The sequence below is a fragment of the Homo sapiens genome, chromosome 8 (genome assembly GCF_000001405.40).
Source record: "Homo sapiens chromosome 8, GRCh38.p14 Primary Assembly".
NCBI lineage: Eukaryota > Metazoa > Chordata > Mammalia > Primates > Hominidae > Homo > Homo sapiens.
Window position 1 is genome coordinate 132,169,403 of NC_000008.11, and position 26,159 is coordinate 132,195,561.

At 45.9% G+C, this 26,159-nt stretch overlaps 1 protein-coding gene across 5 annotated transcripts in view; it reads right to left on the reverse strand.

Annotated features, from left to right (window-relative positions):
• KCNQ3 (potassium voltage-gated channel subfamily Q member 3) overlaps window positions 1-26,159 on the reverse strand; it is a 360,235-nt gene that overhangs the window by 48,542 nt on the left and 285,534 nt on the right. For all 5 annotated transcript variants that reach the window (XM_047421769.1, NM_004519.4, XM_011517026.3 and 2 more), the window contains exons 2-8: window positions 16,689-16,779; window positions 14,839-14,965; window positions 10,755-10,927; window positions 6,051-6,206; window positions 4,837-4,947; window positions 3,196-3,291; window positions 932-1,026 (exon numbers count right to left, since the gene is read on the reverse strand). In XM_047421769.1, the coding sequence (XP_047277725.1) occupies window positions 932-1,026; window positions 3,196-3,291; window positions 4,837-4,947; window positions 6,051-6,206; window positions 10,755-10,927; window positions 14,839-14,965; window positions 16,689-16,779 (849 nt within the window). The remainder of the gene's footprint in view (window positions 1-931; window positions 1,027-3,195; window positions 3,292-4,836; window positions 4,948-6,050; window positions 6,207-10,754; window positions 10,928-14,838; window positions 14,966-16,688; window positions 16,780-26,159) is intronic.

Consider the following 26,159-nt stretch of genomic DNA (forward strand, 5'->3'; position numbering starts at 1 on the left):
CATATTAATTTTGCCTTCCCTTTTCCATAACCATAGAAAAAGGTTCTTATTTTTCTCTGAGATCTTTAGTTCAATCTCCCACCTCTGAGAACACGAAACAGCGTCTCTGGGTGGCTAGAGGACTCTTCCTGCTGTCCTCTTCCGCATTTCCTTTCCTGGAGTCCAGAGTAGTCTGTGGGTGCAGGCCATGCCCAGGTTGGAGGAACATCCAAGATTTCAGGGTGGCTCATTGTGTGGGCTGCCCACTTCCTCAACCCACTGATCCTGCTCACACATTGATCGGACCTTTCCTTATCAGCTACTCCATGCCACTCTGTGCTGGCTAACTGGGAAGCCCTGGCTGCACAGAGGAATCACCTGGGGAGCATCAAATATACTGATGCTGCGGCCCCGGCCCTGGGGATTCTGACTTAATTAGCTTGAGGTGTGGCCTAGGCATCAGATTTTTTTTTTCTTTATTTTTATTTTTATTTTTAATTTTTTGAGAAAGGGTCTCACGCTCACTGTGTTGCCCAGGCTGAAGTGCTGTAGCACAATCTCTGGTCACAGAACCTCCATTTCCTGGGTTCAAGCAATTCTCCTGCCTCAGCCTCCTGAGTAGCTGGGATTACAGGCACACACCACCACGCCCGGCTAATTTTTGCATTTTTAGTAGGAACGGGATTTCACCATGTTGGCCAGGCTGGTATGGAACTCCTGACCTCAGGTGATCCACCCGCCTCGGCCTCCCAAAGTGCTGGGATTATGGGTGTGAGCCACCGCGCCCAGCCAGAACTGTTTAAGCTACCAGATAATTCTAGGGTGCAGCCCAAATTGGGGAACATTGCCCTGAAGAGTGTTCTCCAGGGACCCGTGAGGCCACAGACACGAATACAGACCGCAGGAGAGATGGCTGGTCACGCCCTGAGCATTCAGGTGAGTCCCCACTTGCCTGAAGAAAGGAAAAGAGACGACTGATTCATAAAATCTCCATGTCGCCACCAGGTCAATCCTGTTGGGGTTGGTAGCATAATACCTCCAGGCAGCCTGAGGGGCAGAAAAGAGGGGCAACAATGAGTGGGCACCACCTGAAACTTTCGCACAGACTCCCACACCAACAAAACAATGTTTAAGCCCTGGACTCCTAAGAATTTGAATGTGCATTGAGCCAACATTCAGAAAAACCGAGATTCTTGGCTTTTTGAAGCTGCTTTGGGAAGAAAAACTTCCTTGACCATCTTGGAGCTATAATTGGTGTTGTGGTGAGTGGGGGAATGGAGAGATGAACTGGAGTGGAGGGAGAGAAGAGAGTAGTAGGCATAAAATCCCTGAAAGGAACAAGTACTAAAGGCCGGTGCTATGGCTCACGCCTGTAATCCCAGCACTTTGGGAGACCAAGGTGGGAGGATCACTTGAGGCCAAGAGTTGGAGACCAGCCTGGGCAACATAATTAAACTTCATCTCTACAAAAAAAAAAAAAAAAAGAACAAAGCTGGGCTTGGTGGCACGTGCCTGTAGTTCCGGCTACCTGGGAGGCTGAAGTGGGAGGATAAATTGAGCCCAGGAGGTTGAGGCTGCAGTGAGCCGTGATCGCACCACTGCACTCCAACCTGGGTATAGAGTAAAAGACCCTGTCTCAAAAAAAAGTAAACAATAAAATATTTAAAAATAAACAGAAACAAGTGCCACTCTTTCCAGAAGATTCCCTGAGACTTCTCAGTCAAATATATAGGAGAACAGAGTCTTTTGTACCATTTCTGGGTGCAAGAGAAAGCCTACCAGATGAGGTTTTGACATAAATATCCTAGAATCTCTAGGATTCTCTGATGGTTTGGGGTGTGGGGAGTTAATGGGTCAGGCTCTTGGAAACTGGGACAGGCCTAGGAACCACAATATGCGGGATGACATCATGCACCATCTAGAGTCAGGCACACAGACCCACAGAGACACTCACTACAACTGGAGAAAGCTCACCAGTGGGTGGCCATGCCCTCGCACACAGGCAGCTGTAGACAGGACACTCTGCTTTCCTATTCACTGTGCCCTCATCCTCCAATAACCCATTAAAACAAAGCAGGAACTCCCTCTGAAATATAAGAGGAAACACTTCTGCCTCTCTCATCACCTCTCACTGCTCCCTGCAACCCCCAGCCCATGTGAGGCTAGTGATGGAGATGGAAGGCTGGCAGGTGCATGTCCAACATCCTCTGGTCCATGGTTGTCTACTGGGCAGCACAAATGGGAAAAGTGTTTAATATTTTGCACATGTAAGGCATCTCTTTCTCTCTTGGCTTATGGGCTCTCTGCTTGGCAGATGTGACAGAGACTGTTCTCCTTGTAGCTGATTGGCTAAGTACCTGGACTTTAGGCTGACTCTTCCCTATGGGTCCCTAGGCCAAATCTGAGGGGAAGTAGAAGGAGAAGAAAGCCTAGTGCAGCCCCAGGTCCAAGCCAAATTCTCATCTCCAACACACCATCAGTAAAAAAGCTGAGGCCACGTGCCACAACTCATGCCTATAATCCCAGAACTCTGGGAGGCCAAAGCAGGAGGATGGCTTGAGTGCAGGAGTTTGAGGCCAGCCTGGGCAACATAGTAAGACCTCATCTCTACAAAAAAAAAAAATTAAAAAAATTAACCAGGTCTAGTGGTGTACATGGTGGTACGTGTGGTGGTGCATGCCTGTGGTCCCAACTACTCAGGAGGCTGAGGTGGGAGGATTGCTTGAGCCTGGGAGATGGAGGCTGCAGTGAGCTATGATCGCACCCTACACTCCAGCCTGGACAAGAGAGTCTCAAAAAAAACTCAAAAAACCACCGTATCAAAAAAAAGCTGATAGGTTGGTCCTTGAGTTCTGTGTCTATTTCTTTCTTGGCTTAGAAACTGAATGAGAGAGTGACAGGATTGTCACCTTCAGTACACAGAAGAACAGGTGAAATAGATACCCATGGAAACTCCCCATAGCCATCCACAAGTAAGCATGTGCAAGCAGGCCTGCTCCTGCCTGGGCACATTAATACACACACACACACACACACACACACACACACACACACAGACACACAAGACACACAGACACACATGGAATCCTGGGTCCTGTCCCAGTTCATGAGTATGTCCCCTCCACATGTGCACACATGCACACATACACACACACACACGTATGTACATATGCATGGATCTTAATCCCATTCCAGTTCATTCCCAGGCAGACAGACCTGAATGAGCTCAGCAGCTGGCTTCCTCCTTTTCTCAAAGTGCTTCTGACGGTGTTGCTCCTGCACCTTGAGGGCCAGCCCGGACCCCAGGATGCCCTGGAGGGAGAGGCAGGCAGGCAGTCAGCCCCCAGCTAGACTGTCCCAGCATTCCCGCTCCATTGCCAGGGTAATGGGGACTGTAGGGCTCAATTGCACTTCAAGTCCTTGCAGTGACAACACTGTACAAAGAAGGGAAGGGGGAAAGAGCCCTTCCTTCTCTTGAAGAGAGTAGGGAGCTTGGTTAAGTGAAATGAGCCTTGAAGTCAGGAAGACCTGGGTTCCAATTCTGACACTGCCACTTTCCAGGTGTGAGGGCCTGGGCAAGCCCCTTAGCCCTGTTGCATATTGGTTTTTTCTATAGGGATGTGGGATAATAATACCTAATGCATGATTAGAAAAAAGTGAGATAACCTTTATAAACTGCCAGTAAGGGGTACTGCACAAAATAGATGCCCAGTAATGTTAACTGAGTTTTAAAAATATTTTAGCTGCTTGAACTGTCACGTGATACTTTGACTATAGCCGGAACTTCCCAGAATTGGGATCTGTTTTGATTTTCAGGTCAGACTTGCCAGTGGATTAAGTGGCCAGAAACACACACTTTCCAAGCTGAAAGAGAACTTGAAGATCTTGCAACATTCCTATGGCCCTGACTCATCAATGAGAAAACTGAGATTTAAGAAGGTCATTTGCTCAAGGTCAAATAGCTTAGGAAAAAAACCGACAAGGTAGGGCTGCAAATAGAGAAAGAACATCACCAATGAAAGAATGGAAGAGGAAGTGGGTGGCAGGGAGATTGTTACTTAAAAGTTTTTTTCAAGCTTCATGATTAAGAGCCAGGTTTTAGAACCAGTGGACTTGGGATTCCTGGCTCTACAACACAGTAGCCTTGTGGCTGTAGAAAATTTACTAACCCAATTAAGTCTCGGGTTTCACATTTGAAAAATTGAGATAAAAACAGCACCCGACCCATAATGTTGCCATGAAGATTAAATGAGATGATGTGGGTAAAGCATTTGGCATGATTCAGGCACACAGTGAGTTCAACAAATGCAATCTGCTTTCATTATTATTACGTACCTGGACACTGGGCGTTGGGGAAGTTACTCTATCATAGGTCAAGGCTTATTCTTGAGAGACATGTATTTTTTACATAAGCCAGTAAGTAACAGGACAAGAGAAGGGAACTCACATAAATGAAGGACCTGCTCCGTGCAAGGCACTGGGAATGCATGAATGAAAAATATAATCCCAGAACCCAAGGAATTCACAGTCCTCTGGGGAAGGCAGATCTAGAAATGTGTAATCCTAGCATAGGGCCAGAAACTCCTTTACAGAATTATTCCCAGAGTTATGCCCAGAGCGACTAGCTCAGCCTAAAGAAGGCAGCATTGAAAGAGGAGTTGATGTGTGAAGAAATCTTTGGCAAAGGAAAGCAGCAGGGCCTGTGGCAAAAAGGCAGGATCATCATGCTTAAGGGAATGGCTAGGGAGTTGGTAGGGTATAAGAGGATAGAAGATGACACTGGAAAGTTGAGCTGGCACCAGGCGGTAAGGGGTCCTGCACGTCACATTGGGGATGTCATATATCAAAGGTACTTACCGCTGGAAGGGCAAAAAAGGAGACGCCAATTAAGGAAAAGGTGGCGGCAATCAGACGGCCTTCCCACGTTTTGGGTGTCTTGTCTCCATAGCCAATGGTGGCCAGTGTGATCTGAAGAGAGAAGAGTTCAGACATGGAGTACCACATGGAGAGGAATATCAGGAACGTGTTAACTGAGCTCTACCTGTAAGCCTCTCCATCAGCTTGGGCAATGCTCCCATTCATAACAAGGTTCCCTTAGGAGAAAAGACACCAAGTACCTACTAACTTATATGGATGCCTTGAGACTTGTTGATAAGTTAAGGGTTTCCTACCTTAGTCAGTCAACAAATATTTCAGCAATTGCAAATGTGTATGTACACGAGCATTCATGTGTGTGTATATTTGTGAATTTGTGATTTTATTTATAGCCATGTTTGTGAATATATGTGTGCTTGTGAGTATATTTGTATGTATTGTGTATATATGTGTGTATGTCTAATGTCTGTGCATGTATCTGTTCTGGTGTGTTTAGTATATTCTTGTGTGTGTTTACATGTTTATGTTATCAGTATACATGTACTTATGCATGTGTATCTGCATGTGAAAGGCAGGATTATCAGAGCAGTTGACAGTGTGGCCTCCGGAGCCTAACTATCTGACTTCAAATCCCAGGTTAGCCACTTACTGGCTGAAAGACCTTGAAGTTACTTAACTTCTTCATGCTTCAGTTTCCCTACTTTTAAAAAGAGCTAATGATAGAAGTTGTTTGAGTTTAAAGTAGGTTAGTGAAAGTAAAGCACCCAGAGAGATGCTCTGGAGCAAAGAAAGCCTTCAGTGAATGCCAGCTTTAGTACTGTGTGTCCTTGTGGGTGTAGGGTTGTGCACACACAGGTCTGTGTGAGCACACATGTGTATCTGTCACTGGGTTTGTTTGCACATGCATGGCTTGGCTGAAAATAGCCTATGACTAATAAGGCTAAGTCCATAAACGACCATGCAACCAGGCTGTTCCAAGCCCTGGCTTCTTATAAACGCTAGAGAAAAGTCAATTCCAAGTGCCCACCTTGAAGGAGGGTCTTCTGTCAGCAGGTTCTGAGCTGAAATTGGTCTAGAGCTTACCTCTGACTGCAGAATGCAGCTGCCTGGCTGAACATGCTCATGTGATGCCCTCCACCTCTCTCTGACTCTTGACAGTCAATCTCACAGAATTGGCCTCCAAGGTAGTGACTCACCAGGCCCCACCACAGGGCATCTGCATAGGTCTCAAACTCCTCTTTCATCTCCTCTCCTTGTGCATCCACCTCTGGGACGTCTTTCTCAACCAGGTAGACAAGAAATGAAGAAAGGATGAGTGTCAGGAAACCGATGTACCAGGCCGTGATGAGTTCCTGAAAGAATGAACAGTGGACATGAAAAGTGGTCACTGGGGAGTCGTTGAGTGGATGCTGGAGCCAGACACACCAGAGTTAGAGTCCAAGTTTACCAGCTCTGTGACTGTGGTCAAATCACTCACCTTCTCTGATCTTCATCTTCCATCACTGTAAAATGGGATCATTAACATGGTAGTTATTTCATCATTAATTAACAGAAAAAGTGTATGGCTCCAGGAGGAGAGGAAGATTTCTAGCTTAGGGCCACTTCAATATCACAGCTCAAGAGGCTTCAGAGGAAGGCAAGAAGGCAGGAGGAAGTGGCTCCTTCTTCTAATACAAGGCTCAGGACTCAGGAGACTTGGGTCTATGCAGGACTGCGTAGAGCAAGGAGAAAGCTCGGTACAACCAGGAAAGCAGGGTCTCTGTCCAGAGACCCAGCCCTGACACCAGTTTATGGTGTGGCCTTGGGCAAATTCTCCTCTTCTCCCAAATCTCAGTATCTTCATTTGTTAAATGAAGGGACAGAGCCACAGAGTTCCTGAAATCGTTTTGTGTACCACTGGTGAAATGCAGCTTTACATTAAATATTGATTTAGAGCCTATGCAAAAGAAGGTATCAAGCCTGTAATTTCATGGATATTATCATATAATAGACTAGGACATATGACTAAGTAAACAAGAGTAAGGTGATTTAATGAAAAGTGTTAAGTAATAGTCAGGATGGTATGGATGGAAACTTCACTGAAGTTTCAAAACCCCTAATGGAGACAAGACCTAATGCTCCTTCCAGCTCCAACTTTCTCTCTTTCTCTCATTCTATTCCAGTTTCAAGATTTATCATAGTAGGTTGGGCAGGAAGAAAGGCAAGGTTATTGGTGAACACAATCTGGAGATTTAAGACTGTCTGTCATTCTTGCTGAGTCATCTCAGAGAACAAAGTTGTTCACATTGATATCCTTCCTGTATCTGACCATCTGCGGCCAGTCAGCTGGCCCTTCTGGGCCAATAGAATCTTCCTGACAGGGTTGCTTCCTGCCTCCCTGCAGGACTTGGCTCACATGGGTCCTGCAGTCTGAATAGCCCTCCCACACTGGGACCAACCAAAGAGCATGGAGTCATCTTCAGACTCATGTCACCTCCACTATGAAATTTTTCTAGATGTTTGCTCCCCCAATGAAAGATAGAGTTCAGCTGTGGTTCCTTTATTCCCTCCCCATTTTCTAAACATACTTCTCCAAGCCTCCAACATTTTATTATGCTCATTTGCTATTATGCTCTGGCCTTGCCCACAGCATCACATACACATTGTACGGGTGTGAGTTTGGTCTATAGCAGAGGGGTTCACTTAGATAATACAGGCGACCCAGCCAGCCATTCTCTTTGGTGAGCGAGGTTCTGTGCTGCAGGGAATTTGAGGACGGAAACGTACATGGACTAGTCCTTACCCAGTGATTGCCTGGGCATAAGCCTCTCGCCTATGGAGTGTGGTCCTAGTGCTTATATGTTTTTTCATACTCTCTGGCCCCCAAATGCAAGTCAGAAGTTTCATCTGGCACTTAACCAAATCAACAGTTGTCTGTTTCTGTGTGCACATAAAAACTGACTGTTCTGGATTAATAAGAGATGGTATAACAGTCACCATTAAGGAGTGAAAATGGGTCCTAATTCTGTACTTTGGAGTCATTTACTTTGCAGTTATTCCAAATAATTCTGACTTTATACAATTTTTGCTAGCAGCTCTGTGGCAGAACCTGTGACTGTTCCCCAACAGGTAGCTCCTCTACCTGCTGAGGCTCCCCTGCAGTCAAGTTGAGGCTAAGGGACTGGGGTCCAGCCAATATGGAAAAGTGATGGGAGTGAATCCCTCCTTGTCCCTTAAATCCATTCTGCAGGATTCTCCAGGTTCCTTTCCCCTGCCTTGGTGACTCAAGTCCTCATAATTCAAGACGAAAGGGGCCCACCCAGCACACATCGGATACACTGTAAGCCAGAAGACGTCTAGGTTTTTGTGCTGGGTGGTGGGAGCTCTAGGGCTCATTTATTTTGGGAGGAGAACCTGACCTATCCTAACTAGTGAAAGCATTAACTTTGAAAGTTTAACCCTGTGCAACAGAGCCTCCCACACTTGATCTTTGAGTGCCCAGAAGAGTTAGCCATAGTACCCGGCCCAGAGTACAATGAATAAATGAATGAAGAAATGAATTGATAAATGTCCATTTGCCAGTACTCTTGGTGATTTCCTTGGGGAAGAGCTTCCTCCCAGCTCTGGTAGCACAGCTTTCGGGAGGACTCACAACATGTACTTTGGAGTCTAACAACAGCCTGTAAATCTAAGTCTATGTGCAGAGAGCTCTGCTCCAGAGCCCATTCCCACCCCTGGGAAACAGTCTCTGCCTCACTGGCGTCTGGCTGTTGTGCAAATCCATATATACTGAGGAATTATATCACAAACTTCCAATGGTCTCTGGTAATTACATGGCAAAAGCCAGCAGGCACTGGGGATCTATTATAGTCTAGAGGAACACAGGACAAGGGCCTAAACCAGCAATTTTTAGCACCAGTGTTGACCAGAACTGTGAATCAACTCAGCTCCATGGATACAGGTTATGGCTGAACCCATAGGGGTTTTATTAACGTGTCCTTTGATAAAAGATAAAATAGAAGGTCAGGAGAAAGAAAGGGGCCTGTAAAGCATGCTCTGACCTCACTGATTCTGCAGCCAGAAGTAGCACAGACAAAAAATAAAACACAGATGGCAAGAAATTGCATTCTAAGCTGAAAGATTCCCAGGTATTTTATGCTTTCATTCCACTTTATGTCTATGCTTATGTGTATGGTATGTGAGGAACAGCATATTCAGAATAAAAAACACTACTATTAATGAGCACCTATGACTTACCAGGCACTTAAATGCACATTTTCTCGCATGAGCACCCAGGAGGATTCACATTTTTACCATTGAGGAGGCTCATTAAAATAGAATGACATCTTTAAGGCCTTCTGGCTGGAAGGTGGCAGAGCTGAATTTTGAGCCAAGTTGCTGTCTGACTCTCAAGCTCATATTCTACTCCGAGATGCAATCTCATAGGAAACCACTACCCCTTCAACGTATCTAGGTGCATCCTTGAGATAGAGAACCAGGGGTTGTGAAGGTATGTTCTGGAGCTGTCCAGCTACAGGTGGCATGGTCACGTTAACATGCATAAGGAAAACTCTAAGCTCCTTAATGTCAAATTGCCCAGGGCTCACTGCCTCAGGTCCAGCTCTCCAGAAACAGAACCCAAGAAAGGGATTTCAGTGTATGTGACACATTTCCATGTAATTATTGAGGAAATGGTCATAGGGTTCCTATTAAAAGAGACCTAGGTGGGACAACAACAGCATCTAGTATGCCTACCAGGGTGGGTGCAAAAAGATACTCTCTTGGGAAGCAAGGCAAGCTTGGCTTTGTACCCCCAAAGAACATCCATCCCAGGGATTTCTCCTGATTTCTCCTCTCGGGATTTTTTTTCTGCCTGAGCTGAGACACAGGGGTTTTCCTTCATTCCTCCAGAATCCAGCTAAAGCAGCTAGATTAAAACAAAGTGCTACCAAAGACCTGGGTTAGGAATAGGAAGGAAACACAAGCAGTACCATGAATCTAAATGAACTGGATTCTGGCTGCTTGGGTTCCATACCTGCTCAGCCACGTGGGACTCTGGAAAAGGAATGGACTGAGTTCCATCCCTCCTGGATTCTGATCTACCTGGGGGAGGTGAGCACCACCACCCCAGCAAACCAGCAGCAAACCACTGGACACAAACCCTAGAACTGGAATGCCAGGGTTTATATCCCACTGCGTGACCTTGAGCGGGTACTTCCTCTTTCTGTGTTTTCTTTCTTGTCAGTGTAATGGAGTGGCAATAGTGCCTGATTCATGGGATGAGCTAGTCCTTGTCAAGCACTAAGTTGTAGGCACTGTGCTTTGGGCTTTACATAATAATTGCAACTGAACAATCTCCATGAGCTTGGTACCTTCTAAGTGCTCTTCACATATCAATTCATTTCATCTTCATCTAACCCTATGAAGTCAATGCATTATTATTCTAATTTTATAAATGCAGAAACCAAGACGCAAAAAATTCCCAACGTCACAGAGGCAGAGTTCAGATTCAAACCAACCTGTGTGATCCCCAAGCCTTCTTCTCCCACTGCATGTGGCCTTGAATGAGCTCATTCCATCCTCTCAAAAATCTGAAGGAATAGGCATTATCATTCCTATTTTAAAAGTGAGAAAACTGAGGGCCAAAGAGGGCTGAGCAACTTGGCCAAAGTCATTTGCATATGGTGGAGCCAATACCTAACCTCAGTTTCACCTGTTCCTGCTCCCTGAACCACACCTGCTCCTGCCCCTACCCCAGCCCCGCCACTTCCTGTTTCTCCTCCTCCTCTTCCTCTTTGTCGTTATCATCAAGGGTGGCAGAATGACTGCCTTCTGGGGACACTGCAAAGGAAGGGATGTCATGGAAGGGCATAGGTGGGTGGGAAGCCCATGTGGTCCTGCAGTTTCTCCACCACACTTACTTTGCTGTGGGCACAGATGGCTGAGCCCAGAAGCTTCCAGGTGCCACCTCTCCGGTCCATCCGCAGCATGCGCAGGATCTGCAGGAAGCGCAGGCTTCGCAGGGAGGTGGCCAGAACATTGCCTTGGTTTCCCACAGCAACCACTGGCACAGAGGCAATCAGCACAAAGATGTCTGGGAGAGAGGACAGACAGAGTGGGAGGGAAGAGGGAAAGGAAGGTCATGCGAAAGCAATGGCGTCATCATAGGTGCTGTTTGCTGGCAGATCAGCATGTGCCAAGCAGTGGGACAATCTGAGCACTGCTGTTGAATCTTGCCACCAACAACACATGGTAAGTGGGATTATTCTCCCATGACTGATGAGGAAACTGAAGCTCTGAGCCTGAGTGACTTTCCAAGGCCACCTGGCCAGAAGTAGCATAGGCCTACCACACTTTAATGCTGGCTCCAGAGCAGCAATTTACCAAGGCCCCCCGCAGTGTGGTCCTTGAGATTCACTCTGGGGCCCAGAGGACAGCTGCAGCTGCTCAGCCTATGGAGGTAAAGCCTGACACTCAGACACTGTTTCCATATGTGTTTCTCCTAAAAGCATCACCTGAGGTAGGAACTTGGGTTCAAGTAATTTATTGGAAGATGATGTTAGGAAGCAGAAGTGACGGCAGAAGGAGAGAGAGAATGTTAAAAAAAAAAAAAAACCAATGTTGGGGGTGTTATCAAGGCCACTGTTGAGTCCTTTGAGCTGTGGACAGACTTCCCAAGATTATCCATCTGAAAAATGGGAAGCTGGGACATCTGTTTCTTGCCTCCTGCTGGTTGAAGGTCATCCCTAGCACTGTCAACGCCCCCACACATCTGAGCTACACTGGCCTAGTGATCTCCCTAAGCTTGAGAGAAGGCCTTGGGGTAGATTTTGGAAAGATGTAAGGCCCACCCATGACATGGGATGCTGGTATCAGGAGATGGCATGAGAATGTCCACTACAGACATTTCAGAGATGGAAAAAGGGGATGAGACACTTCTGAGATGGTTAAGCAGGCTCTTGACATCAAATCCTCTAGTATGGAAGAGGGAGGAACTGATCTGTTTTCTATTTCCTTGTAGTCAATTCCCATGTCAATTATCACCCCACTTTCCTGCAGAGTTACCAAGTAAAAAAGACCATATGGCCAAGTAAATTTGGGGAAAAACTCCATTAAATGGGTTTTACAAAATTATTAGTGTTATTTATTTTTAGTGTCACTAATTTTTTTATTGAAACATAATAATTGTACATATTCATGGGGTTTGCAGGGCTTCTCAGAGTCTTTAATCTGCAGATATACACTGTGGTTCTCAACTATACAAGTGAAGTATAGTCTTTCCCAAAATATTTTGACCACGGAACTATTTTTTGCAAGGGCTCCAACAGTTCCAAGGAACACACTTAAGGAAATATTTGTCCACTGGGAAAAGTCCAAGCTCTGCAAAGCCCTCTGTGTTCTGGCTCCTGGGAATCTGCCAGAAGCCTGTGTAGCTCATTGAGCACACATCTCCATATCTTTGTGTGTTCTGGTCTCTCAGCTTGGAATAACCTCCTCAACTCATATCAAGGCACATTTGCCAAAAAAGCTGATGCCGGCCAGGCACAGTGTCTCATGCCTGTAATCCCAGCACTTTGGGAGGCCGAGGCGGGCAGATCACGAGGTCAGGAGATCGAGACCATCCTGGATAACATGTCTCTACTAAAAATACAAAAAAAAATTAGCTGGGCACGGTGGTGGGTGCCTGTGGTCTCAGCTACTTGGGAGGCTGAGGCAGGAGAATGGCGTGAACCCAGGAGGTGGAGCTTGCAGTGAGCCGAGATCGTGCCACTGCACTCCAGCCTGGGCGACAAGAGCGAGACTCCGTCTCAAAAAAAAAAAAACCATAAAAAACAAAAAAAAAACACCAAAAAGCTGATGCCTTTCCTACCTTATTAAAGTGTCCTCCAGGTGTACCTAGCCTTTGGAAAAACCTGGGGGTCAAACCTCTGGATACTGATACATCTGCATCATTTGCCAGGCTTCTCAGATTATCTGTGCAAACCTATCTATCTGTAATGCTTGCAGAGAAAACAAAAGAACACCAAGATGTGTAGTAAACACTATGGTCTAAGACGCTCCATGAGGCAGTTCTGACCCATCTTCACTCAAAATGGCAGGGTCCGAGGCTGCCTTGAATATGAAAGCCATCATGTTCATGGGCGTGATAACCATCCTCTTTCCCATAGGGCCACATTGTGGAAGAATTGGATATGAGTACAATGGAAAACATGGCAACACTAAGTAAGGACCGTGTGATGCTGAGGCCCAGCCTCATCTCCCCAGGGAGGGTGGAGGGGGACCTGGAGCTCTGTGACCGCAGCTGATTTTAAAATAGTGGATACTTCCCCAAGGGGGATGCACCTGTCCAGCAGGGATCTGGGCTCCCACTGTCGGGATGTTCTCAAACTGAGAAGGAGTCTCTTTGAATGTGGGCACAATCCATCATAAAGCTACCACCCACACACTCAGAACTTCTGGTCAGCCTTGGATAGGTCATGCAAAGAAGAAAAATAAGTCTGCTTAATTGTGCTGCACTTGCAAAAAACTTGGAGGGAAGAAAAATAGAGAGGAAAGAAAGAAAAGCGGGGATTAGATACTGAAAGAGGGCAAACGAAGAGAGAAGAAAGAAATATGAAAAAATCATTAAAAAAGTCCTCCAATATCGCACACACACACACACACACACACACACACACTCACATACCTTCCGTACATTCAAAATTCTGAGAAAAACCCCAAACCTCAGAAGTCCAACCTTAGCATCAGGTGGGAATAGGGCAGAGATTTCAGCTAGGAGTGGGCAAGACAATGCAACTCCAGGCTGCACAGACAGAAGCCTGGCACCTGGGACAAAGGACATGGTCCAGCTCTTCTCTGAGCTGGCTGTCCATCCCCGAAGGACTGTGTTCAGTCCTGGGAATGACTTTTCAAAAGTAAAGTGAAGAATGAGTAGCATGCTCAGAGGAGAGGGAGTATGATGCTGAGAATGCGTGATGTAAGGTAAGTTGAAGCCACTGATGACGTTGTTTCTTGGTAAAAGAAGACTCTTCTGGAGTAGAGAGGGGGAATAACATGTCTAGACTCAAATACTTGAAGAGTGTCAGAGGAGTTAAAATGAGATAAATGCCTGGATGAGTGGTGAGCACCTTGTGACTAGGGGCATGCAAGCAGAGCCAGGTGACCACTTAATGGCTGCTGCTGGGGACTGGAGCATCAGACACGATGGCAAGCTGGACTAAATGCCTTTGGAGGTCCTTCCAGCCCTGACACTCTATGATCCTGTAATTCCAACCTTCCCATGGATTTGAAGCTCCAAGACTCCTACCTGTCACTCAAGGAGATTTTGTCCTGCAACTCCATGGATTTTAGTCCACACTGGACCAATAGGTTGGTGAGAGTTTCCACCTCCTCTACTATCAAACTGCCTGCACACAAATGGAAGGATTCCAGTGACACCTCTCAAGGCAACCATTGGATTAAGAAGCAAGACCACACCTGGGTGTTAGGACAGAATCCACTGTTTCCTGCATGACTGAAAAATGACTCAGATCTGTGATCCTCTGTTTCTATTTCTGTACAATGGACATAACATGATGCTGTAGAAGTAGATTCTCAGCCAGCAACGGTGTCACGCCTACAGCTTCTGTCCCAACCCGTCTGGAAATGTATGGGTAACTTTGATTGTCACAGTGACTGGGGGTGCTACTACTCCAGGGACTGGGGATGCTCAATATCCTGCAACCTGCTTGCTGCTCCACAACCCAATTGCCAAGAGTGACACCCTACCCTGCCAAATAAGAATCCCTGTCCTGTGCAGTCCTTATAAGGACCAGTCACAGAAGGAGGAATTTGAGGACCCAGAAGGTTGACACTGTCCCTTCTCATCGAGGCAGCGTCAGGGGCTGAGCTGGCCTCCACAGTGCCGCGTGATTTCCCAGAATAGCTGCTTAAACTTTTCTCAGAGAAACAATGCCCCAAAAGAAGGGAACTGAGGAGGCTGGGAGGCTCAGGGTCAGGACTTACCCAACATGCACAGGGGCTTCCTGGCAAACTTCAGTCGGCCCCGCCAGCCTTTGTATCGGCAGCAACATCCAGCAGCCCAGATCCTCAAAGCAAACTCGGCTCCAAAGATGAAAATAGCAAATGTCTCCTGCATGGAAGAGCATATGGAGAGGCACTGATTAACCGAGATCCACTTGTCGGGAGCTGGTGATTTCTATTCGGAAGTTCTGAAGAACTCCATTTTGTGCTGTTGCTGGTTGTCTGGTTGGCAGGGATGGCTGGGGATGGGGGTGGGGAAGGGGAACCGGGAGAACAGGTCCATCACCGCCATTCAGTTTGGAGGCCTCCCATCTTCATTCTGATGTGCTAATTGTCCTTAATGCTGTTAAACCTGGCACAGTGATTACTCGTTCTTTTTTCTATGTTTTTGTTCCAATAGGTCAGCTTTAAAAGTCCCTTTAATGAATGAAAAGCCCCCAAGAAGTGCAGTTGGGTTGAAAAGAGAGATATGAGTGAAACACAATCTGTTAATTCCACCCAGTGCCTGTACCCTGGCATTGCTAATTGTGGCTAATGGTTATTAAGCCTGGCTCCTGGGCCAGGCAGCCCTGAAAGTGTTTGATAATATTATTCTCATCTTACATTTTGAGAAACCAAGGCACAGAGTAGTTAAACAAGTTTTTCAAGGCAATGAAGTGGAGAAGAAGGGATCTCAGGCTCAAGTAACTAGGCTGCAGAGCCCAGGAGCTTAAGCACTCTCCAGGACACAGGGTCCCCCTTTCCTCCTGCAACTCCCTTGATGATCAGACACCAACACCTCTGCCTCTCTCTCTTTTGTGACCTCCCTGGGTGCCCTGAGGCATTGCTGCTCCACGACAATCCCTGGAGCCTAGTTCCTGGAGTTGGATGGTTTCCAGGGAGTTCCACACTGAGGTCTGAGCTCTGGGACGTGCTGTTGCAAACCCCTGCTCTCAGAAGGAAGAGCTGACTCTGGTGCCTCGATGGCTTGCCCAGTGTGAGAAGAAGGCTCCACTATTTTAAAAGCCCTAACTAGGGGGCCACACCACTGCCCTGTGTGCAGGATGGGGCCTCACCCCATGCAGTCGGCATTGCCCTGAAGAGGCAGGACTGACTCCTAATCACGGCAAGGGTGTGGTCATTCAAGGGGCCAGTTGACCAGTGCTGTCCTGTGGCTACAGAAGGAGCAAGCCCTTGTTAGAGCCTCCTCTCAACCAGGCACTGAGACTGGGCCCAGCCCATGTCTGCATTTGCTGCTCATCTGACCTTACATTTTTTAGGCAAGGACTTGAGCAAACAGAGTCAGGGGTACCTTAGCTGACTTGCCCAAGAATTCTAATCCTGCTCTGTTTCCATCACACCACCTGATGGAGGACAGAGAGTGAAAACAAATGCAGGCCCCAGGAGGGGAGATTTAGAGGTTTCGTGTATAAATGGAATTCTGTACCTGGCCTTGGAGAGAATGAGAGATCCTTGGAGTTTAGATTGTAGGATACCAGGAAGAAAAAGCAGAGACAGGTTTTAGAATGAAACATGCCTTTGTGTTACCTTTCAGAGGATTGGGAAGCTGTATTTTATAATTTAATAACATGCATTGGTTTTTGCTTTGACTTTATTTCCCCTTCTCTCTAATGTGGAATAGCAAAGCTTTACCAGGAATGCCATTCTTCACCCCACATGTGCCCATGGCGGGCCATACCAAGTAATGGAGGCTTTGCTTTTCCTTGGGCCTGGACTTGACTGGAGACTACAAGAAGCTGCAACCAGTCAGGGAGGAGTGCACCCAAGGGCAACCTCCTTTTCATCACTCTGGAAGCCCAACCAGAAGCATTTACCCCAGAATGCAATCTTACCAGTAACAGAAGCCAGTCTCCCGAGACAGTCTCATACTCCTTGAATGTGGTCAGGACAGCCAGAATCAAGCACCCCAGGACAATCAGGAACCTAGAGGGGAAGAAAGAAATGGACTAAGGAACCTTTGAGTCATGGCTTGCTTTGAGGCTAAGATGGGGAAAGGTGTCTTCCAGGATGAAGCTGCAACTTCTGCTGGACATTGACATGTGCTTTATATGCTATCCCATTCAATCTTCACGACAAACCTGCAAGGCAGGCGGAAACAATCATCCCAGTTAAATAAAACAATGTGAGAGAAGTTGACCAATGTGCATACTTTTACTTAACCAGCTAATTAGTAGAATCAGCTAGTTAGAATTTAAACTAGATCATCTGGTTCCAACCTCGAGGACATTGCTGAAAGTCCAAAAGTCAAGACAACTTTTCACAAGTCATTAAGTATATGAATTAATTAATAATGTGTTCTACACACATAGGACTGATTTAAAAATATATGAAAATGTTTTCTTAGAATGAAGAAAACACAAATTTATTCCAAAGATTGAAAAATTCAGCAAAGGCTTCTGTGACCAAGTATGAATATTGTCACCAAGTATGAATATTGTTCATTTTTACAGTCAATGGAACCTCTTTCAATTGGGGATCTTTGGAATTGTTTTTGAAATGCTAGAAAGAAGAGGAACTACCACACTGAAGCATGCAGAATGCTGGTCCTTTAAAATTCACAGAGAGGTCACCTGGTTCATGACCAGGCTCAGGCAGGAGTGAACTACAAACAATTTTTTAAGATTGTTATCTTTATAAACTGTGAGGTGCGTGTGTGTGTGTGTGTGTGTGTGTGTGAGAGAGAGAGAGAGAGAGAGACAGAGAGAGAGAGAGAGAGAGAGAGAGAGAGAGAGTGAGAGACAGTCCCTGTTTCATTGTTTTACCAAGGAAAATGGTTCTCCCTCTTGGTGGAGAGTCTTTGGCTTAGTTGTCAGTACCAGGTTCCCTGGGTGTCCAAAAGGGAATTTATAAGCTAGGGTTTATGGGTGAAGCTTGGTAGTACATACTCTAAGCTCTCCTACTCCAGGTACTCTGGTTTTCTACTCTACTTAGGTTCTACCCATGCTTTTTTGGCTTTTGTTCATTCATTCATTCAATATTTAAATGGCAGACGTTGCGCATACAGAGCTGGAATTCAATGATGAATAGGCTGGATCTGTCCTCACGAGCTCACAGTCCAGATAAACAGAAAGTTGTCTCATGGTGTGACCATAAGGACCATGATGTAAGGCGGATGGAAATGTCTCCTTCTGACCTTGGCTGGGACCAAGTACTGCCTCTGACCCTTAGTGATCCTGATCATATTTTCTGATCTATAAACCTGCTGATCTTCAGACCTGAATCTTTGTGTCTCCAATCATGCCCAGGAACCTAAACAAGATCCCCAACTCCTTCCTGTGTTTGGACATTTTATGTGAAATTCGACTTTAACCCATGTTTGATATCTGCCTCCCCTAAGCCCCATATCTTCTCAGTTGACGATGATGATGGTGGTGGTGGTGGTGATGATGATGGTTGTGATGATAGTGGTGGTGGTGGTGGTGATTATGATGGTTGTGATGATAGTGGTGGTGGTGGTGGTGATGGTGGTGATAGTGATGATGGTGGTGGTGGTGGTAGTGATGATGGTGGTAGTGATAGTGATGGTGGTGGCGGTGGTGGTGATAGTGATGGTGGTGGTGGTGGTGGTGGTGATTGTGGTGGTGGTGGTGGTAGTGATGGTGGTGGTGGTGGTGATAGTGATGGTGGCGGTGGTGGTGGTGGTGATGGTGGTGGTGGTGTTGGTGGTGATAGTGATGGTGGTGGTGGTGGTGGTTGTGATGATGGTAACAACATCAGTAACTGTTACTACAACCTCCAAAGTTAGATATGACCATTCCCATTTTAGAGATGAAGACATTCATCAAAAAGAATCACTACCATCAGGATAACTATGTTGTCAGTAAAATGACCAGAAAGCTTGGAGTCTAAGCTTAAAAGGAAGCTCTGGTGCTTTTTATGTGATTTTGAGCAGCTCATTGACTTGGCAGATCCCGGTCATCTCATCTGGGGAATGAGGATAATGAATCTGCCTAGAGCTCACCATGATTCTGAAGACTTCAGGAAATAATTGATAAAGGATATTGTTGAGTCAATTGTTGAGGATCATGGTGCTCTCATACAAACATGCTCATCATTGGCCAGTCAAGCCCTTGGCAACATGCAGGGAACTTAATCACTCTCAGAAGATTCTGCAAGTCCACATTATGATTCTCTCAAGACTTTATTTTATTCATTCATAGGCTCTGTAGAGAAGACCTTGCTTAGAATCATTTTCTTTCTCTTATGACCTGCGTGTTCTTAGACAAAATACAAAACATTTCTGCATCATGGTTTCCTTCTGTGTAAAATGAATCCAATTAAATGTCCATATCCTCCATTATTCAGTGATGTAATCCATGTCAGGTGCGTGGAAAAGCCAGCCTTCAGTAAGAGTTAACTATCATTTTATTGCAATTTAATATCAATTTATTTGGTGCCTCTTTTGTCCCAGACATAGTACTGGTTTTAAGGATACAAACATGAATAAAACCTATTCCTCATTATGCAAGGACTCCTTAGTTCAATGTGGAAAACAGGACAAATAATTACTGGAGAGTGTGGTTGAGGTTATGACCCACGTGTTCACATGCTTTGGGAGCATCCAGGAGGGGCTGCAGCCAAGAGGTTGGAAGGAAATTCAAAGCTATGCTACAGTTGACCATATGTCCAAGTTTATCCAGGACATTCCCCATTTTACATGTTGACCTGGAGTCTGGACCCCTAGGCCTCATGAACAACATGTACACGTGCAGGAGGTGCAAAAGTTCATGGACAAAGAACCAGGTTTGATTTTTCTTAACAAGGGATGTGGGCCTTTTATGATCTAGCCTTGCCCTCCTCACAGCCTTGTCATCTCCCGCTGCTTCCCCACATCCAGGCTGGTCGTAGGAATGACAGAACTTCCTCAAATTCTCTGAGCCCATGTGCCTTCTGTCTTGATGGTCCTCTTCCCTGTCCACTTTTGCCATGTCCCCATCATTAACCTGCTAATGTCTTGGCAGTGCCAGTCATGCCTTGCCTCCAGAGCCTTCCCTGACCCCAGCTGCTCTCTGCAGGCTCCCTTGTGTGATCTCATCCCTGGGATCCCAGAGCACCCTGATTCACTTCTACTCCAGCATGGACAACAACCCGTTATCATCTTGTAATTGTTTGCGCACATCATGTGCTAAATAAAACATACTGTCCCAACACCTGACAATAGGACTCCCTTAAGGGAAGGAACTGCCTTTGCCTGGAGAATACTTTATTGATCCGATTGAGGTAGAAGTTGCAACCCTTAAAACATGAGACTGCTAAACTACTTAGCAATAAAAATTAACCAAAAATGGCTGGGCACAGTGGCTCATGCCTGTAATCCCAGCACTTTGGGAGGCTGAAGCAGGTGGATCGCCTGAGGTCGGGAGTTCGAGTCCAGCCTGACCAACGTGGAGAAACTCCATCTCTACTAAAAATACAAAATTAGCCAGGCATGGTGGTGCATGCCTGTAATCCCAGCTACTCGAGAGGCTGAGGCAGGAGAATCACTTGAACCCGGGAGGCGGAGGTTGCGGTGAGCCGAGATCATGCCACTGCACTCCAACCTGGGCAACAAGAGCAAAAACTCCATCTCAAAAAAAAAAAGTTATCCAAAAATTAGAGATGGGGATTGGTGTTGAGGGCTAAAAATGACCAAAAAAAAAAAAAAAAAAAAGAGAGAGAGAGAGAGAAGAGGATATGGTCTAGCCATATGCTGAAGGATTTTTAAGAACAAGATTGTTTAAAATCTTAAGTTCTTGGTCCAACAATGCAAGCCATCAACCACAGCCTCATAAGTGACTTTGTTTTTAGTTGGCATCGATCCTGGCGCTGGAACCCATGGCTGGATCAGTGCATGGGAAAAGGAGACAGGTTGGTGTCCCACAGCTGAACTAATTTGGCAGGAAAAGGAGTCCTTAGCTGGACTCTGAGACTTTACACAGCTCCCTGTACCTCGGATATGTATATATGAAAGATTCAAGTTGTGTGTATGGTGGGCATGCCCTAAGGTAATCTCCAATGAGTCAGGCAGTTGCATAATTGTCTTTTCTGAGTGCAAGCAGAACCTGTGACTTGCTTCTAACAATAGAATATGCCCAAAGAGATAAGATGTCACTACTCTGTGTATTTTTTTTTTTAATATGGCAAAGGCAACTGGATAGTCATGCCTGTGATTGTTACATTATATAAGACTCTGCCATTGCATTCTGGAGCTAGAGATTCTCCTGCTGGTCTTGATGTGAGCTGCTGTTTTGAAAGGCCTGTGAGAGCTATGTGGCAAGGAACTGTGGGATTCTTGGACTTGACTGCAGCCACTGGCTGATTACCAGCATGAGAGTGGGACCTGTTCTGGAACTGCAAGGGTCAACAATCATGGGATATTGGGGAGTCCTCCCACAAGATCCAGAGAAGAACAAGTCCCAGCCAACTCCATGACTGCTGCTTCGTGAGATGCTCAGCAGAGGACCCAGTTAAGCCATGTTCATACTCTTCATGAAAACTGAGATTAAAAAATTGTATGTTGTAAGCCACTAAGTTAGAGGCAATTTGTTATGCAGCAATAGAAAACTAATACCATGTGGAATGGGAATCTGCACCAAATGCATCTCACTTTTATACAGCAGGATAATCCAAGGGAGGTCTGGGCTGCATGTGTGCATTTGCTCTATTAGACTCTGCTCATGGAGGGCAGAGACTATGTCTTGTTCCTCTCTGTATCTCAGTGAATAGCTCAAACCTGGCACTTAATAAGAACCAATGTATGTTTAGAGAATGAATACAAACAATTTCAGCGATTAGCAATGGCCTTGTTGAAATTAAAGGCAAGGGATATAAGGTGAACTTGGAGAGACAGGCTGGGAGCACGACATGAAAGATATTGTAGATCAAATGAAGACTTTGAGCTTTATTCTGCAGAAGATTTTTTTTAAAGATACATGGTCTCATTCTGTCACCCAGGTGGGAAGGCAGTGGCGTGATCATAGCTCATTGTAACCTCCAACTCCTGGGCTCAAGTGATCCTCCCATCTGTAGTAGCTGGGACTACAGGTCCCAAGTAGCTGGAACTACAGGTGTGCACCACCACTCATGGTTAATTTTGTTTTTATAGAGATGGGGTCTCGTTATGTTGCCCAGGCTGGTCTTGAACGCCTAGACTCAAAAGATCCTCCTTCTTTAACCTCTCAAAGTATGGAGATCAGAGACATGAGCTTCTGTGCCCAGCCTAGAAGATCTATCTGCCTATCTACCTATCTATCCACACACATACATATATATGTATCTCTCTCTCTATATATATATATAATATATGGATGGATATATATATAGATAGATGGATATATATCTAGAAAGATGGATATGTGTGTGTATGTGTGTGTATGTATATATAATATATATAATTAATATATATAATATATATAAATCTCCATATCTCTGTCTCTATCTCTATCTGTAATCTCTATCCAAAGACAGGTCTCTGCCAGGACAGCAGTCAAGACGACGTTATCATGAGCTGACCAGAGAGGAGGAGGGTGCGCTGGAGAGATGACAAGGGTCCCATGAGAGAGCATCCTCCTGTGTAGTCCTGGCAGGAGTTGTGACTAATGGGATATAAAGATCGAGCAAGAGGAGCACTGGGAGGGGTCTTGGGGTGGGAAGAAAGTGGATAATGTGCTGTTCGCAGACATCAAGAAGCTGTGCAGTGCGGCCAGCAGGACCGCGAAGATAAGAAGCTACTTGCGGACCTGCTGCACTTGAGGTCCAAGTGGAAATCTCCATCCGGCTGATTGAAATCTAAATTTAAGGCTTAGGGGAAAGGTCAGGGCTGAATATCTAACTCTCTTTCAGCTCTCGTTGTCTGCTTTTAGAGCCAGGAGAAGGGATAATTTCGCCTTCGCCAACCACCAAAATGCAGTTTCAGCCGATTCCCATCCGCAGGGAGCCTGCGGAGCCCATCTTTGGCCAGGAGGGGGCAGCAGAGGCCCGGCGTAGCCCCGCGCTTCTCACGCCTCACCAGCAACCGCAGGAACCCACTTTCTAAGACAGGAGAACAATCATTAATTTATACAGCTAAAATAAATACGGAAACCCTCCTTAACCTGAGAAGAGGAAACGCCCCTTAGTTTCTTGCATATTTCAATTTACCCTTAACATATGAACTTAATTTCAGACGGAGACCACGTTATCAGTCCCACTGATGGACAAGGATGTGGCGCTGAACGTGGGGCTAGAGATTCTCCTGGGGGTCTTGACGTGAGAGCCGCCCCCAGCTGCTTTCTTCCTGGTTTTCTGCTTCTCTTCCTGCTTTGGTTTCCTCTCTCTACATTCTCACCAATTATTCCTGTTCTTCCTTTTCGTCTGTCCTTTGTCACTTCAGTTTCCTTCCCTATAGTCTGGTGTTTCTTGTGTTTGTTTGTTTGTTGTTTTTTTATTTTCAAGACGGAATCTCGCTCTGTCACCCAGGCTGGAGTGCAGTGACGCAATCTCCGCTCACTGCAACCTCTGCCTTCCGGGTTCAAGCGATTCTTCTGCCTCAGTCTCCCAAAGAGCTGGGATTACAGGCATGCAGCACTATGCCTGGTTAATTTTTGGGATTTTTAAAACGAGATTTCACCATTTTGGTCAGGCTGGTCTCGAACTCCTGACCACAGGTGATCCACCTGACTCGGCCTTGGAAAGTGCTGGGATTACAGGTGTGAGCCACAGTGCCCGGTCTTTCTCTATAGTCTTGACTGTTTCCTTTCCTCTGCTCTTCTCTTACTGCCCTGGCGTTCCTGAGTTCTTTTCCTCTCCTTCTCCTGCATCCTTTCCTCCACTGCTCCTCTCCTCTCTTGTTCCTCCTTCCTCTGCGCCTTGCCCACCACTTCTCCCTCCCTTCTACACCCTGCAGGAGTAAGCAAGGGTTTGCGGCCAGGAGTCTTGGGGAGAGCCAATAGCAGCCTTCTGTCTGCAGCATCCAGGCTGTCTTTGCAAACAATTCCAGTCAAGGTCAACAGTCACGAATATGCCCTTAAATCAGTCTCCATCACCTCCATGCTTCCACCTTCAGTATTCTTTCCTCACCTTCGGCCATCTTCCATCCAAGCCCAGGTTGGGGAGGACAAAAGGGAACTGACACAAGGAAGCCTGCTTTGTAGCTGCACGTGGCTCTAAAGCGGCAGATGCAGGGGCCTCAGGACAGGAACCAGTGCGAGCTGTCCAGGCCCACTGGATACCTAACCTCTGTCAGGCAGCAGGCAAGGAAGGCTTTTGCAGATGCAGATGTGAGGGATGACCACAGTGGTACCAGGAAAACCCTGCCGCCTCTTCTCACCCATGTCTGGCATCCATTTATAGACTCCAAAGCTGAGCCTGCTGGAAGTAAGAGTTAAGGTTGCCAGCCAAACATCCCCTCACAGGCTTCATTCACAGTGAGACAAACACGGTGAAAACATTGATGCAGGAATTTTTTCGTACATCATTTTCTCTTTTACTCCTGAGAGCAACACTGCGAGGAAGGGGACTATCATTTTATTTGTATCCCCATTTTACAGATGGGGAACTCAGCCTCCAAGCTCAGGCAGGAGGGACACAAAGGGAGTGAGAAGTCAGACACTGTGCTGAGAGCACTGGAGCCTTGGAAGAGAATCTGCAGAGAATGAGGTGTGGTCAGAGCCAGAGGGAGAGCAGGGAAGGCAGCCTGGCCTGCTGCTCTCAGTTCAGCTGGGAGAAGTAAATGTCTTCCCTTCTCTTCCTCTGGAGTCTGACATTTGGCAGAGAAAATCTCAGTAACATTCCAGATAGCTCCCAGATACCCCTGCTGGCTCCTGCTCTAATTACAGCTGTCAATGGACAGCTTTCAGAGCATCTGTAGCCCTCAAAATGTCCTAGAAGGTAGCACTAGACTCTCTTTCTTAGAATCCTTGTCTGTCTGCCATTGAATAGCGATGCATAGAAACATTTTTCCTAGCTAGGTGAAGGCAGAATTGAATTGTCTAAAAGACAGGCATTGTTACGTCATAGTTAGCTGCACTTGTCCTAACCCTTGGCCACCATTACTGATCTTCGATCTTAAGAAGGAGACATAACCTTAAAAGGCAGTGACAGACCTCAAACTGCGTGAGGATCCTACTGACCCTCAATTGAAAAGCCTCAGATGTTAAAGCACCCACTGTGTGCCAGGGGTTTCTTTATTTTCTATGAGTCAGCCCCAAAAAGGATGTTTGAGTCATCTCCTAATGAGAACTGTTCCATCCACTAAGAACAGGGTTGACAAATCATTTTTTATCTTGAAAACCCACTAGGATGGATTGGTTAAGGCTGCCAGGAATGCGTTATTGAAAAGAATCCAGATTGCAGCCAAGTTAACTGGGGGGAAATGCCATTATTGATTCGTGATGTCTGTCACAGGTGCAGGAAAAGACCAACCATTTGCCATTCCCTTGGAACCCAGACATGAGAACATAAGTCAGAGCTAAAATCGTTTTTCTAAATCTTCCTCTTCCTGATTTGACTCATGCCAAGCTCTTTCAAAAATTTGATTAGCTGGAAATTTCAGGAAACCTTAAGAAGGACCTATTATTCTTTCATCTAACAGAAAGGAAATTTGTACATCAGAGTTCGGAGTGATTTGCTTATGGCTACAAAATAACTCCCTGCAGAGCTAGAAAGAGGATTTTGGTCTCTCAACTCCCAGCCTGCTACATCCTCCACTGTGCCACTTTCTACTTTATCTCTGGTAAATCAAAGAGTGAATCTTTATGGACATTTGTGCTATTCTTTTACCTGATTACAACCCGTCCACTTCTGCCAAACCCCACCAACATCAGGGCAAAAGGCTAAATACCATACACCAGGGTCATTCAGGGAATTAAAACAAAACTGATGTGTTCATCTTCTCTTTTGAGAGTTGACCACTGTTTTTCTTCATTTAACATTTATACTTTTTCTCTCTCCAAATATGCCGTGTGCTTATTTACCTATGAGGTGTTAGGCACTATAAACCATGTTGGCAAATGTCAGACTTTTATAAAACACATAAAAAAGTACAAGGAATAATTTCGAAGTCATTCAAAATGATTCCATCTCTTAATACTATCTTAATACAAAACTCACAACTATTTAATAGAAGAGCACGGGAGGCAAATAAACACCCTGTGTTGTGAGGCTGCGTTTCAGGGTCAGCAACTTGACGCAGCTGAGCCAGGCAATGGCAGATATCCTCATGTCCCCTTAGGGGGCCTTCAGTGCTACTCAGCCCTCTGAGCTGGAAAGAGGCAGCAAGAGCTGTCAGTGAGGAGAAGAAAGCACAGGAGAGGGTACTGGAAGAGTGTGCCCTTCACCATGTAGTC